The sequence below is a fragment of the Homo sapiens genome, chromosome 2, assembly GCF_000001405.40.
Source record: "Homo sapiens chromosome 2, GRCh38.p14 Primary Assembly".
NCBI classification, from domain to species: Eukaryota; Metazoa; Chordata; class Mammalia; order Primates; family Hominidae; genus Homo; species Homo sapiens.
Genome location: NC_000002.12, coordinates 133,839,523 through 133,854,507, shown reverse-complemented (window position 1 = coordinate 133,854,507; position 14,985 = coordinate 133,839,523).

The following is a 14,985-nucleotide window of genomic DNA, read 5'->3' as shown; positions in this document are numbered from 1 at the left end:
TGATGCTGCTGCTGGTTTTTGACACCACACCTTGAGACCACTGCACTAGATTATTCCTGTTTCTGGAGCCAGTCTTCCTCTACTTCAAGGCAACTCTTATAGCTTTCACATGGGAGCTTCGAAGGACACCCAAGGCCCCTGGAGGGGCTGTTCTCATCCTTTCTTAGTGTTCTTGGCCACATCTTCATAGCAGCCACTTGTTTGAAGAGACTTAATCTTGGCCAAAGTCCCAACTGCCTGGCCTTCTGGCTGAAAATGAAGGGCTGCACAAATGCTGGGGTGTGGTGGTAGCTGTGGGCAGCAGAGAGCATGCGTGACCTATGTCCTCTCACTGGGGGCCTCTCACCCCTCTCTCCACATGCTGGTATCATCCCACTGGGGGCCTGATGTCCAAAAGACACAAAAGGGTGCACAGTGAAAATTCTCCCTCTTATCTACCCTCTGGCCACCAAGTTTTCCTCCTCAGAACAGTCAATGTCAGCTCCTCTCTGAAACCTTCTTCATGCCTCCAGGGAGATTACACCTGTAACCTCTGGGATACCAAGCCTTGTAGGCAGATCTTTACCACCACATGTGAGGCATTGATTTAAACTGTGAGCAACTTGAAGGCAGATCTGTCTTCATATATATATTTTTTTCTTCAGAGATGGGAGCTGGAGTGCTGTGGTGTAATCATAGCTCATTGTAACCCCAAACTCCTGGGCCCAAGCCGTCTTCCTGCCTTACCCTCCTGAGTAACTGGGACACTACAGGCATACGCCACCACACCTGGCTAATATTTATACAAATTTTTTTTGTAGAGATGGGGTCTCACTATGTTGCCCAGGCTGGTCTCAAACTCCTGCACTGAAGTGATCCTCCTGCCTTGGCCTCCAAAAGTGCTGGGATTACAGGAGTGAGCCACTGTACTTGGCCTTGTTTATTCTTGTGATTGTATGGAACATATTATAGGCATTCTCTGAATGCTTGCTAAATGAAAACAAAAGCAATGATTAGTGTATGAGTCCATTTTCATGCTGCTGATAAAGACATACCAGAGACTGAGCAATTTACAAAAGAAAGAGGTTTAACGGACTTACAGTTCCACATGGCTGGGAACTTACAGTTCCACACTGCCCTAAAAGAGGTTCTCCATGAGCACCCTGCCCCTGCAGCAAACTTCTGCCTGGACATTCAGGCATTTCCATACATCTGCTGAAATCTAGGTGGAGGTTCCCAAACCTTAATTCTTGACTTCTGTGCACTTGCAGACTCAACAGCACATGGAAGTTGCCAAGGCTTGGTGCTTGCAGTCTCTGAAGCCATGGCCTGAGCGTTACATTGACCCCTTTCAAACATGGCTGGAGCACCCGGGATGCAGGGCACTAGACCCTAGGCTGCACACGGCACAGGGACCCTGGCCCTGGCCCATGAAACCACTTTTTCCTCCTAGGCCTCCAGGCCTGTGATGGGAGGGGCTGCTGTGAAGACCTCTGACATGCCCTGGAGACATTTTCCCTGTTGTTTTGGGGATTAACATTTGGCTCCTTGTTACTTATGCAAATTTCTGCAGCCAGCTTGAATTTCTCCTCAGAAAATGGGTTTTTCTTTTCTGTTGCATAGCCAGGCTGCAAATTTTCCAACCTTTAATGCTCTGTATCCCTTTTAAAACTGAATGCCTTTAACAGCACCAAAGCCACCTCTTGAAAGCTTTGCTGCTTAGAAATTTCTTCTGCCAGATACCCTAAATCATCTCTCTTAAGTTCAAAGTGCCACAAATCTCTAGGACCGGGGCAAAATGCTGCCAGTCTCTTTGCTAAAACATAACAAGAGTCACCTTTGCTCCAGTTCCCAACAAGTTCCTCATCTCCATCTGAGACCACCTCAGCCTGAATTTCATTGTCCATATCATTATCAGCATTTTGGTCAAAGCCATTCAACAAGTCTTTAGGGAGTTCCAAACTTTCCCACATTTTCCTGTCTTCTGAGCTCTCCAAACTATTCCAACCTCTGCCTGTTACCCAGTTCCAAAGTCGCTTCCACATTTTCAGTTATCTTCTCAGCAGCACCCCACTCTACTGGTACCAATTTACTGTAGTAGTCTGTTCTCATGCTGCTGATAAAGACATACCCAAGACTGGGCAATTTACAAAAGAAAGAGGTTTACTGGACTCTCAATTCCACGTGACTGAGGAGCCCTCCCAATCATGGTGGAAGGTGAAGGGCACATCTCATGGTGGCAAACAAGAGAGGAGAGCTTGTACAGGGAAACTCACAGTTTTAAAACCATCAGATCTCATGACTCATTCACTATCATGAGAACAGTGCAGGAAAGACCCACCCCCATAATTCAATCATTTCCCCACTGGGTTCCTCCCAGGACACATGGGCATTATGGAGTTACAATTCAAGGTGAGCTTTGGGTGGGGACACAGCCAAACCATATCAATTAGGAAGGCACAATAGATATAACATAGTCTGACTCTGGAGTCCTCAGACCTGAGTACAGGTTCTAGCACTGCCATTTATTAATGTGTAGCCTCGAACAGAAGCTAGTTAGCCTAGGTTATTCTCAGTCTTCTCATCTGCAAAATGGGCACAAGAGTATCATCCTGACATGTTGTGGTATTAAATAAGATGACACATAAAGCTCCTGCTGCAGTGCCTGGCACAAAATAGGTGTTCAGGTATTGGTATGTATGAGTGAAAGAAACCATGTGCTGGACAGACGAGGGGTTGGAGGATGAGATGGGCACAGGAAGAGGAGTCCTGGGGCCCTTATCTTTCAGGGTTTTGAGCAATGTTATCTTTTAGCCTGCAATATCGAAGTGGGATAAAGCAAGAGACTCTTGAGGGTAGAAGATGGAGCTGGAGAGAGTGGAATGAGATCAGAAGGCAGATATAGGGAACCCTTCACTGCCGGTTTGGTCTTTGTTCCCATTTCTGGTTTTTATTAATGTATGAATTCACAGTCTGTCATCTTTCACACATACCCCTTTTATCTGTATCCATCAGCTGATCTTAGTCCTGCTAAGGGTAGAGGCAATCACAGTAAAACTTGAAAAGGCCTGTGCTGAGAACCATGAGATCATGGATCTGTGTTTAATAGATGTTTGGGAATGGGAATGAGATTGTTGTTTATTATGTGCACATGATATGTCTGGGCTATTAAAAAACACTCCTGGTTCAGTCCTCCTCTAAGCTGTACTTGGCTTTTGTATTGGCTAAGCTCCCTTTTGTGCTATGGAAAGATACACTGCATGATGTGGTAGATATTACAAGTTCCCACATTATGAGTACCATATCCAGTTCTTTTCCCCTTCCAGGCCTATGGAAGACAGGACCCCTTTGCACGTGGACAAGGCCATGTGCCTGCTTCTGGTCATCTGTGAGCAGAGGCAGTACAAAGCCCACAACTCTCTCTCTGTCTTTCCTCAGGCCTGTGATCATGGAGGAGGCTTTGGTATAGGGACAGAACTGCAAGATTAAAGCAACTGGGAGCCCTGAGCCACAACATGGGGGAAAGATGCCTTGAGGAAGCACCCGGCTTGCTCAAAATTCTCTGTTGCATTAAGCCACTGAATTTGGGGGTTGTTACTGTAAGATAACCTGGCTTGTTCTAATATACGAATCAATGAGAAGACACGACAAGTCTTTTTACACTTTTTCCATCATCGGTAGGTTATATATGGCACTGAAAACCCATGTTTTTAGTATAGTGGTCGAGACTAAACATTTTATAATTATATCTCTGGCCTAGAATTACCTTCCCTCCCCTATTATTGGTTATGTTGAAGCCATGCAGTTCCCAAATAAGATATAACTTTCCAAATTTAATTTTTTAAATTATTATACCTTTTATAAAGTATTTCTATTAATCCAAGTTTATTTATGCTATAGTTTAAATAATTAAACCCGTATTTCTTAGTAATATGTAGTAAGTTAGGATTTCAGGAACATATCTCTATGAAGTCTAATCATATTCATTTTGGAGTCATCATAGAAGTCAAGACTGTTGTAGCTACAGAAACCCAGTGACAGAAACCCAATCCAACTCAAACTAAAGTTTAAAAAGTTAATTTTTTTAAGTTTGAATTTATTGTTTATCAAAGTTAAACTCTAGGGCTGATGTTCATCTAAGGCAAGAGGAGAGTCAAGGTAAGGGCTTGCTGGGGTCCTTGCTTCTTCATCTCTTGCCTCTGGTTCTCTCTATAGTGGAAGAGTTTCTCATCTTTTCAGCTCAGCATTTCTACCTGGTGGAGGAATATGGCTGCCATCCGCTCCATAAGCCTTTAGTTCCTACGCTTGGGTCTTCACAATCAGAGAAGAAAAGAGCTTTCTTCTCCCAAATCTAGTCAGAAAACTCCTGGGAAGAACGCTCTCCTGGCTTCTCCCCCATTAGATCAATCCCTTTACTAGTATTGACCAGAGTATTTTAGGAACACACCTTTTGTTACCAGGGGAGGGGAAGAAAGGAGGCAGTACAGATGGAAAATCTGGGGCTGGGCACAGTAGCTCATGCCTGTAATCCCAGTGATTTGGGAGACCAGGGCAGGAGGATCATTTGAGCCCAGGAGTTTGAGACTAGCCTGGTCGATATGGCAAAACCCTGTTGCTAAAAAAGAAAAATCAAACAAAACAAACAAAAATAACACCTAAAAATTAGATAGTTTCAGAAACGTTATTGGTCACAGAATGGGGCCAATATCGCCATTTTGATTTTAGTGTGAATTTAATAACTTTGCTTTCACTGATAGTTACGATCTCCTCTGAGGTTCTCCTCACCCAACTGATGTCAGACAAGGTGTGAATAAGAAGAGTTTATTGGGGTTGGCACATGATACCTAGGGTTACACAGAACCAAGGTATTAGTGCCATGGTTGTTGAGTTCATGTTGTACAGATATTTGGGGAACTCCATGAATAAGGTTAGCTGTAAAATAGCCCCTCTAGGTGTGGGAATCCTATAAATCTCCAGCTCCCAAGGCAAAATGCTCCTTAAGTACAGTTAGCAGGTACCAACTTGCAGCTATATAATTACCGAGTTCCAGGTGAACATGTTGTTATTCATCCAGCATTGCTTCTTTCTGATGGGTGTCAACTAATGAACTCTGGGAGCTGGTCTTTAGAAGATGAAATCAAGCAATGTTGTACAGGCTTTTGTTTTGTTTTTTTTGCTGACCTACCTCTCTAACGCCCTTCCCTGCCTCTCCTCCCTCATATCCCCTCTGGGACATTAGTTAATTGGCGCCAGGATTGTTACAGGAGCCACTTGGCTAAAAGGGAAAGATGGTAGGCGAGAGAGTGAGTCCAGGGCTGCTGCCCGTAAGAGTTCTTACATTTAAACTCAGCTTTAAAGGAAGAAGGCTGGAGTCTTCCTACCTGTGAGGCTTCAGGATGTGAATTTCATGAGTGAGATCCTGCTTTTGTTGAATGCCTGAAAAGTCTCTTCACACATTCACATACAGCTAGGAGGGTGGAGTGAAAGGGGAGCTTGTGCTGATCCTTACTCTTCTCTACAAATCAGACCTGGTTCGTTCTCTCTCTCTGTCTCTGTCTCTGTCTCTGTCTCTGTCTCTGTCTCTCTCTCTTTTTGAGATGGAGTCTCGCTCCATTGCCCAGGCTGGAGTGCAGTGGTGCGATCTTGGCTCACTGCAAGCTCCTCCTCCCGGGTTCACGCCATTCTCCTGCCTCAGCCTTCAGAGTAGCTGGAACTACAGTCGCCCGCCACTACGCCCGGCTAATTTTTTGTATTTTTAGTAGAGACGGGGTTTCACCGTGTTAGCCAGGATGGTCTCGGTCTCCTGACCTTGTGATCCGCCTGCCTCGGCCTCCCAAAGTGCTGGGATTACAGGTGTGAGCCACCGCGCCTGGCCAGACCTGATTCTCTTTGAGGCTGGGCTTGGGTTTTTTGGGAGGAATCTCAGAGACAGCCAACGGAGGCTGGAATTTACTGTGAGCCCTTCTTTCTCCACCCCACCCTCCCCAGTCCTCCCTGGGAGCTGCTCTCCTCTTCTCTAAATATGGGGCCCTCCAGACTTAAGAGAAAGCACAGCTGTTCCGATGCCTCCACAGGGAATCCCATTGCAGCACATTTCTGGTTGAAATTGGCTCAGTGATACCAATCATGTGTGAGATGTGATGACAGCTGGGAGCATGGCTGATTGTCCAAGGACTGAGGAGTCAGGGCCAAGGTTTCAAAAGGGAGACTCCCTGCACCTCTGCTCTACTCCAGTAAGGGGCTCTTGTGTTGGGGCTTGTCTCTTCTCGTAGGGCCTGCAAGGACCTGGAGGAAGGTGGAGTCAGTTCCCAGACAAGCAAACAAACAAACAAACAAACAAACAAAAAACCAAACCCCAAACCAAATTAGGTGCCTGGATATTCCAGAGTCTCTGCTTCTTTCTCTGTCCCTCCGGGAAACTCCTGCTTATCCTGCAAGATGCAGTTTTAGGACCATGTCACTCATCTTCTCTAAGAAGCCCTTCCTGATCTCCCTGTTAGGGGCTGGTGTCTTCCCTCTTTGGGCTTCCAGAATACATGTTTATCCCAGCACTTTCACGTTGCTTGAGTTACCATGTTACATACCTATTTTTTCCTCCTGAACCACATACTCCTTTATTTTTCCTATTTAAAAATGCATAATATGTCCTAACTCTTCCAAGTGAGGACAAATATTAACTCATTTAATCTTCATGTCAACCGTATAAGGTAGGTATTATTATCATGCCCATTTTGCAGATGAGAATACTGAGTTTCAAAGAGGTTACGTAATTGCCTGCAGCCACAGGTGTCGTAAATGGAAGAGCTGCTGTTCCCACCTTGGCAGTCAGTCTCCAGAGTCTTAACCAATGTGCTACGCTGCTGCCAGGTGAGGGTAGCATTTATGTTTTATTCATTTTTAATTTCCAATTTCTAACAATAGGCCTGGCACAAGACCTTAACAAATGTTTTTGAAAGAAAGAACATAGTATTTATTTGTTACAGAGGGAGAGGAATGAATAACTTTTTGGAGTCAGTATATATATATATTCCGTGTAATAAAATCTGCACTGTACTAATTTATTATGTTGTTTCTGAACTTTTTCCCTAAGAAGATGTATGTATGTGTGCGTGTATGAAAAATCCATTGCAATTTACTGTTATAAATTTATCTCCATGTTTTAAGTGCTCTTGTATACTTTTGCTCAAAAACAGAGTAGAAATTGTTCTGCACACTCTTAGACAATGAGACTGGCATTGTATGATGCAAACTCTCTCTGCCAATGAGCCTGTACCCTCAACTCTCTTGAGTTGAATGTATTCCACTAAAGAGGGTTGTTAATTTTTCTGTTGCCTCTCTTTTTGCCATTTATTTCATATTCTAGAAAATCACTTTAGCCCATGATGACTGGCAGGAAAAAACCAAACAAAGCTGTGTAAGTTAAGGGCCTGAATCTGTCTCAAAGAAACACAGCAGAGAGGATCAAGCTGGGTGGTAAAAGGCACGAAATCATTCTCTAGACCTAGCAATGGCGGCCACCAGTGCAGCTGTAAAGCAATGTCGGCAGCTCTTTATCTGAGAGAAATCAGAGGAACTCTTCAACCACCTCCAAGAACAACAACAACAACAACAAAAGGCCCATGAACAAAAATCTCTCTCTGGAGCCAGAACTGGCTGTCTTGACAGACAGACACACTGCAGCAGCTTCACAGTGTAAAAGGGGAGACAGACAGCAGTGCTGACCAGCAAGCTGTGTTTGGATGCCCCAGCACTCCAGTTACTCCTGAGCCTGGTATCCACCCTCCCGGCTTACCTGCATTGTGGGTAACCTGCCTTTTATTGGAAGTATGTGCCACCAAGTCCTTTATTGGCAGAAAGAACCACGCATTAGTGTGTAAAGACCCCAAGGACAGTTTCGCACCCTTGCTGGGGGCCACGCTTTGGTGGAGTCTAAGTTATGCCTTGAGATTATCAGTAAATGACAACCAATACTTGCTCTCATGGGGGCCACACTGGTTATGTTCAAGCCATCAGTTCCCAAATAAGCATGTAACTTTTCAAATTTAATTTTTAAAATTAGTATGCCTTTTATAATATATATTTCTATTAATCCAAGTTTATTTACACTATAGTTTAAGTAAACCCATACTTCTTAGTAATATGTAATAAGTTGGGATTTCAGGAACATATCTCTATGAAATCCAATCAGATAATATCCCTTTCCTGCACAGATTTGGCTATATCTCCAGTTCACAGAATGCATTTCCTACACTAAATAAGGAACACATTAAATGTGCCACACATTGTGCAAAGCTTTTTACAGATTTTATCTCACTCAGTTGTCATGACTTAAATTGTCATGGAAAGTACAAAGGTGAAATTGGATCCAGGAAATAGAATTTAGATGTTATGCAGACAATTTCTGTTGTCTTCTTTGTGCTTAGAATTGGTAGGTAAATACTGAATGCTGACAAAGTACCAAATATTCCTATTCAGAACCTAGAATAGCACTGATGAAGAAAGGAGAAAAAAAGTCCTTCCTTCCTCCATCACTTACTGGGCAGTTGATTATTCAATAATAACTATCCTGTATCACTTAGGACTTACTTTCAACTCTAAGTACTAGATGTTAAGAAAATATTGACTTATTCCAATGAAAGGTTTTGTTTTTCTGGCATAATGTGAAGTCTGGATGTAGTCAGTCTGGGACTAGGAGAGCAGCTTCACAATGTCATCAGAGATGCAGGCTACTTCTGTCTGCTGTCTTCCATGATCGTTAGTGCATGCTTGTCTCATGGGCATGAGATGGCTGCCAACCTCCAACCCTCTCATTCGCATTTCTAGCAGGAGGAAGGGAATGGGCCAGGGCTGAAAGGAACATACTGGCTGAGTCGGCTCCCTTTTATGGAACTTACCCAGCATTCTCACCTATTACCTTCCTCTTGCTTCCCATTAGCCAGATTCGTATCACATATTCACCCCTAGCTGCAAAGGTGGCTGAGAAAATGAGTTATGTTTTTTTTTGGCGGGGGGGTGTTTACTGTTGTGTCTAAAGGGACGTGAGTCTGCCATACATCTCTGAGCTTTAGTTTACTGTTTCCAGCTTATAGAGTCTCTCTGGTAACTCTTGGAGGTGGGGAGGGCTGCAGCAGGCATAGGCAGACCGCCTACAAGGTGTAGATTGAGGAACACTTGGGAGGCTCAGAGGTCAATTCATATAGGCGGATAGTAGCATAAGATAGACACAGCATCTTTGGGACCCTCATGACCTTTCTACTCTTACACTTCATCTGAGAGCTCAAGCTCCAATAATTTGACAGCTCATTGAACATCTGGCTGGATGGCTGTGGACCACTAAAGGTTCTTTCTAGAACCATATGACCTCTAAGTGGCTGGTGGACATTCACACCCCTAGAGGGGCAGGCTAGGATGGAAAATGTCCAGGGTGCTTCTTACCACCCATCCTCTGGGCAAATGCAACATAGGAATGATCATTCTAGAGACCATTGAGCTGCCATCTGTCTTTACTACAGGCAGATTGGGGTTGGAATATGGGTGGAACAAAGTCCTTTTTATCGCACAGACACAATTCTAGGGCAGAAAGAAGAAATGGACCCACATGTGACAGCAGTATTTTTTGAGGTGGTGCAGTCATCATGATAGACAGATTTAATTTTAGATTGAATTTAATAACATCATGAATGACAGAGTCATAGAGATAAAATTGTGTCCCATCTTTGGGGTTGGCTACATTTAGGAGCTCTACATCCATTAACATATTTAATCCAGGTAACCAACCTCCAAGGCAGTTGGTCATTGCTCTTTTACAACTGAGGAAACAGCATGAGTAATTTGCCTAGGACACAAAGCTCGGGGCTTAATTGAATTAGAGCTAGTTCATAGTCCTGAATTCTTCTCACCACATGATGCAAACCTCATAACACACCTGGAATCCTTTTAGTGCAAATAGGGGCAGGTTGGAATTGGAGAGAATTAAAATAATCTGGGGAGGTGTTTCCTCTGCTTCCCTGGGACTCTGGGAAACTGGACTTTGGCCATGATTGCAGTTGTCCAGCAGAGGGCACCAGATAGCTTAGAATCGGTTCCAGCGAGGGCTGCACAGACTCGGAAGGAATTAGACTAAACCACACACAGCTCAGGTTGCAGGACAGAGGGGAGAAATCTCAGCCGAGATCTGGGTACCGCAAGCAGTTAGGCATTCTCCATCCACTGGGGACCTCTGGGGTGGTGCAGGCAGGCTGAGACGTGTAGCCCTCTGAGGATCCAGGTGACTTGCGATTTGAGAGGTGTTTGGGAAGGGGCTTGACGCTTTAAAGGTGAGGCTGGCTTCTGCGAATGGAGAGATTGACTGCTGAATAGTTTGAAAGAAGCTACAAAACAACCCGCCTTTGTAAGGACATGGACCCCTCTGTGACATCTCCCCAGCGATGTCATCATACATACATCAGCTAAGTATTTCATCTATAAGAAGAGTAGGATGTCCAGGGCCTACAAAAGCCACAGGACAGTGAACAAGTACTAACTCCAATTGGTTCTCTTCCTAAGGCAAAACAGGGGTAAAAAGAAAAAACAAACACCCAACTCCACATCAGTCTTTTTTTCTGGCAAATTTCTCTAACATGTATCCTCCCAAACCACTGCCAACAAAATCCAGGTGGTCTCCTTGGCCTTCACCCTCCCTGCGAGTTTGCTGGGGGCAGTCGACTGCATGGGCACAAGGCAGGGCCTGCTGTCAGCCTGACGCGGGGCTTTCCGGAGCTGCCGGGTGGTGTCAGCCACCTCCCCTTATTCTGGAGCCCCTTCAGGTTCAATTCCACATCCATAAATCAGCACTTTCACCTGAGGCCTTGAGTCACTGGGGAGTTCCCTAGTGGCCCAAAGTGAATGCTCCTTCCCTTAGGTGTTTCCATTGCTCCCTGTCAAAAGTGTTTTGAATTGAATATGAGGATAAAGACTTTTTTTTTTAAACATGTGTTTATAAATGTTATCAAAATGACAGCAGCGTGCAGCTTGATGCCATGTGGAGAACTTAACAATCTTCAAAGCAGTCTAATTCAGAAACAGACAAACAGGCCATTTTTAGTGTCCCATTTTAAGCTGCTGTTGTTTGTGCTTGCATGTCTGTGTGTGCATGTGTGCATTTGAAGCCGAGAATGGTATGTTCTCTATGCCCTTGCTACTCAAAGTGTGGTCCCTGGACTGGCAACATCAGCAACATCAGGGAGCTTGTTGGACTTGCATCATTTTGGGCCTCACTCCAGACCCACTGCATCAGAATCTGCATTTTAACATAATCCCCAGGGGATTTGTGAGTTGCTTAGAGTCTGAGCACCAAATGCTTTCTGTTCCAGCAGCTTTCTCAATACCTGGGGAAGGAGAAGGGAGAACCGCAGAACTGGGCTCTGTCTTCTAGATGGGCACATTATTCCCGCTCATTGGGGACCGTGTCTCTGTTCCTTTGTTCTCTTTGAGAAGGGAGGGTCTGGTTGGTGGGGATTAGCACATTCTGTTGGGCAATAATGGTCTGGGGCTACATATTTGTGCCATTTTATGGCAAGAGGTGTGGACTGGGGACATATGGAGAAAATAGGTCTTCTGATAAGCAAGTGGTGGGCATGGAGTATCCAGCAGGGTGAGGTGGCAGGAAGGGGCAGGAAGACAGTGAAGTCTCAGCACAGACACATTTGGGCAACAGCAGCTCACCTGGAATTATATGACATCTCCTTAGATGGGAGTGGGGGCGGGGATTCTGAACTGGAAGCATCCAGCCTTTTCAGGAAACATCCAGAGATACAAAGGACTTATCAGTGGCTGAGGGGACCCAGGTGTTGCCTCGGACTGTGTCCTGGGACTCTCCCCAGGGACTCTCCATGCTAAGTGGAACAATTTGGGTGGCCAGATTGGATGGCAGATGGAGACAGTGTGCAGATGTATGGCCCTGGAAGATAAGAGATTTTTTGTGCACATTAAATAGGCTATTGTTGTCCCAAAGGAGCCATTCCCATTCTTTTCCTGACCCTCACAAATGTCAGTTACATAACAGAGCCAGATCAATATCTGTTTCTATGTAAGTATTGTAAGTGCTTTTCAGGAAGATCCAGCTTTTGGCTGAGATGAAGACACATACCTTCTCTCAATTAAGTTCCCAACCTAGTGGCATGAATAGAGTGTCTCTTGGTCTGGTTTCCCTTCCTTTAAAATCTGAGCGATATTAATTTCTACTGTTGAAGGAATAATTGGAGTTGATGGAGGTAGTTCTACCCACCAGGGAGGCCTGGTCTAGCTAGATGTGGTGGGAGCAGTGCAGGCGAGTGGTGTTTGGCTGGAAGCAATGATCCATTCCTTCTTCATATGTGTACACGTCACTGGGAGTCAGGCTTCCGCTTCAGAGCATGCTTCATTTCCTGACCCACCCCTGAGCCTCAGAGGCCACCCAAGTCTTTGGAATTTACTTTTGGCACAAGGGCAAGAAAAAGTATCTCTCTCTCTTATTGGCTTCTTTTATTCCCATGTGGGCCTCAGTTACTCATCAGACTCCAGTTTCTATTTGCAGGATAAACCCAGAAAGAAATATAATCCTCAGAGAAAATGGTATCACGTCCCACTGGGCCTCTGTTAGGCATGTTGGGCCTTGGAATGAGTTCACAATCCCAAATCCTAAAGTTAAGGTCCCAGAAGTCTGAGTCTCTTCTGTGTGCTGCTGAGTTTCCAATGCACAATTCGATGCTTCAGAAGTCAGCCAGCCTCACTCCTGCTTTCCTCTCCCCTTGCAGAGTTGGCCCTCCCTGTTGGATGGGACCTTGTCATGATTCTCTGCAAGCTGATTGGTTGGCCAACCTGGTTCTCTGGACCTAGCTGGGGACATCTGAACCTACTGAATGCCTGGGGCCTGGCCAACTGTATTAAGCATATCTTTTAGGCAGGGTGTGGTGGCTCACACCTGTAATCCTAGCACTTTGGGAGGCCAAGGTGAAAGAATTACTTGAGACCAGGAGTTCAAGACCCACCTGGGCAACATAGTGAAACCCCCTGTCTCTTAAAATAAATTAGCTAGGTATAGTGGTGCATACCTGTAGTCCCAGCTACCCTGGAAGCTGAGATGAGAGGACAGCTTGAGCCTGGGAGTTCAAAGCTGCACTGAGCCATGATTGTGCCACTGCACTCCTGCCTCTGCGACAAAGTGAGACCCGGTCTCCAAAAAAGAAAAAAAAACATGTCTTTTGATTTGAATGTTTTGACATCTGGGCCTTGCTGACACTGGAGAGATTTCCCTACCAGCTAGCCAGTTCCTAGAGAAAGTAAGGAACTCTTCTGCAAGTGTGCCTTTCATAGGCAAAACAATCGATCCAGAGACCGTATCCCATGCCTTCTCTATCAGGCTTTTACACTCTGGACTGATAATCACTCCAGGGCCGGGTACTAGATGACTTGGGACAGCCCTTATAACCCAGAGCCTCCCCAAATGATTTAACCTAATCAATCCTCAGCCTATTCATGCTGCCTCACCTGTCCCTTCTCATGCAAACCACAATATGGGCTTGTGCTCGTGTTTTCCCCTTGCTCCCTCTGCGCCTGACCAACGCTGGTTCTTCTCATGTGGCCCTGCGTGGTGTGTTGTGCCGGGCCTCTTTTGTCTGGGGATCTGTGAACACACACATTTCTCCTTGCATGACAGCTATTTCCATACGTTGTGTCTTATCACACCAGATTAAAACAAATCTGGGTGCATTTTAAAAGACCAACCCTCCTCCCCCTAGCTTGGACCATGCTCCTTGAACCCACAGTTCACCAAGCTTCCTGTCTTGTATGTGTAGACCTCCTGCCCTTCCTGACTTCTAACTTGGAATGACCATCCCTCCTCCAAGTTTTTTTTTTTTTTTTAACTGTTACAGATATCCCAAGGCCCGAAACATCTAGAAATTAGGAATATGGCTGTTGTACACACTTTAAATGTTGCACCCAACCCACTGGGATGCACGTTCCTGTGCTGGTGCTGTTATTTCTATGGGAAGGATTCCAAGAGTAAAACGGCTGGGCTGGGGGACACAGATGCCATTAATTTTGATAGATATTTGCAGAAAGCTTTGCAAAAAAGCTGCCACCATTCACATTTCTGCTGGCAATATATGAAATGAACTCTTTCTCCGGAAGCTCCCTGGGATCTTGGCATTCTTGGAGTTTAACCCCCCCAGGCACCCCAGGTGAGCACTGTCAGCTGCCAAGAGCCCAGAGCTCCCAAGGGGTTGGGGTGGGGCTGTGGCCCCTCACAGGTGCCGATGCCACCTAAGAACCCAGGCTGACTGGTGAAGGCAGGATGATTCCCACTGGTCTGCTCGTGGTGGGCACTGGTTCTTTGACCTGAGACTCTGCAGGTGACATTGTCTCTGATCCCCCTCCCTGTTGGCTGGGCCTCCCAACAGACCTCTCAAATTATTTTTGCTATATTTGGTTTCACGATTAGTTAAATATTAAGAATTTCATGATTTCTGGGTAAATTTGTCTTTTTTTTTTTAAGTCTTATCCATTATCCACAGAACTTGACTTACAAGCCAGGAGGCGTCTTGGTGGCAATTAGCTCGTGTGGGGTAGGGGATTTCCTGGTGCTACTCAGGCCATACAGCCCTGCTATTTACTCCTTAAGACCATGTCAGCAATTTTCTCCTTCTATGCTTAAGGGCCCATTTAAAATACACATTTTATTTTTCAGAAAACTGCACAATTATTGTTTTTCTTTCTTTCTTTTTTTCTTTTTGAGATGTAGTCTTGCCCTGTCACCCTGGAGTATAATGGCACGATCTCGGCTCCCTGCAACCTCTGAGGCCTCCCGGGTTCAAACAACTTTCCCACCTCAGTCTCCTGAGTAACTGGGACTACAGTCAACCACGCTCATGCCAGGCTAATTTTTGTATTTTTGTAGAGAGGGGGTTTCAACATGTTGGCCAGGCTGGTCTTGAACTCCTGACCTCAGGTGATCCACCCATTATTATTTTTGTAGCAGAAAATATA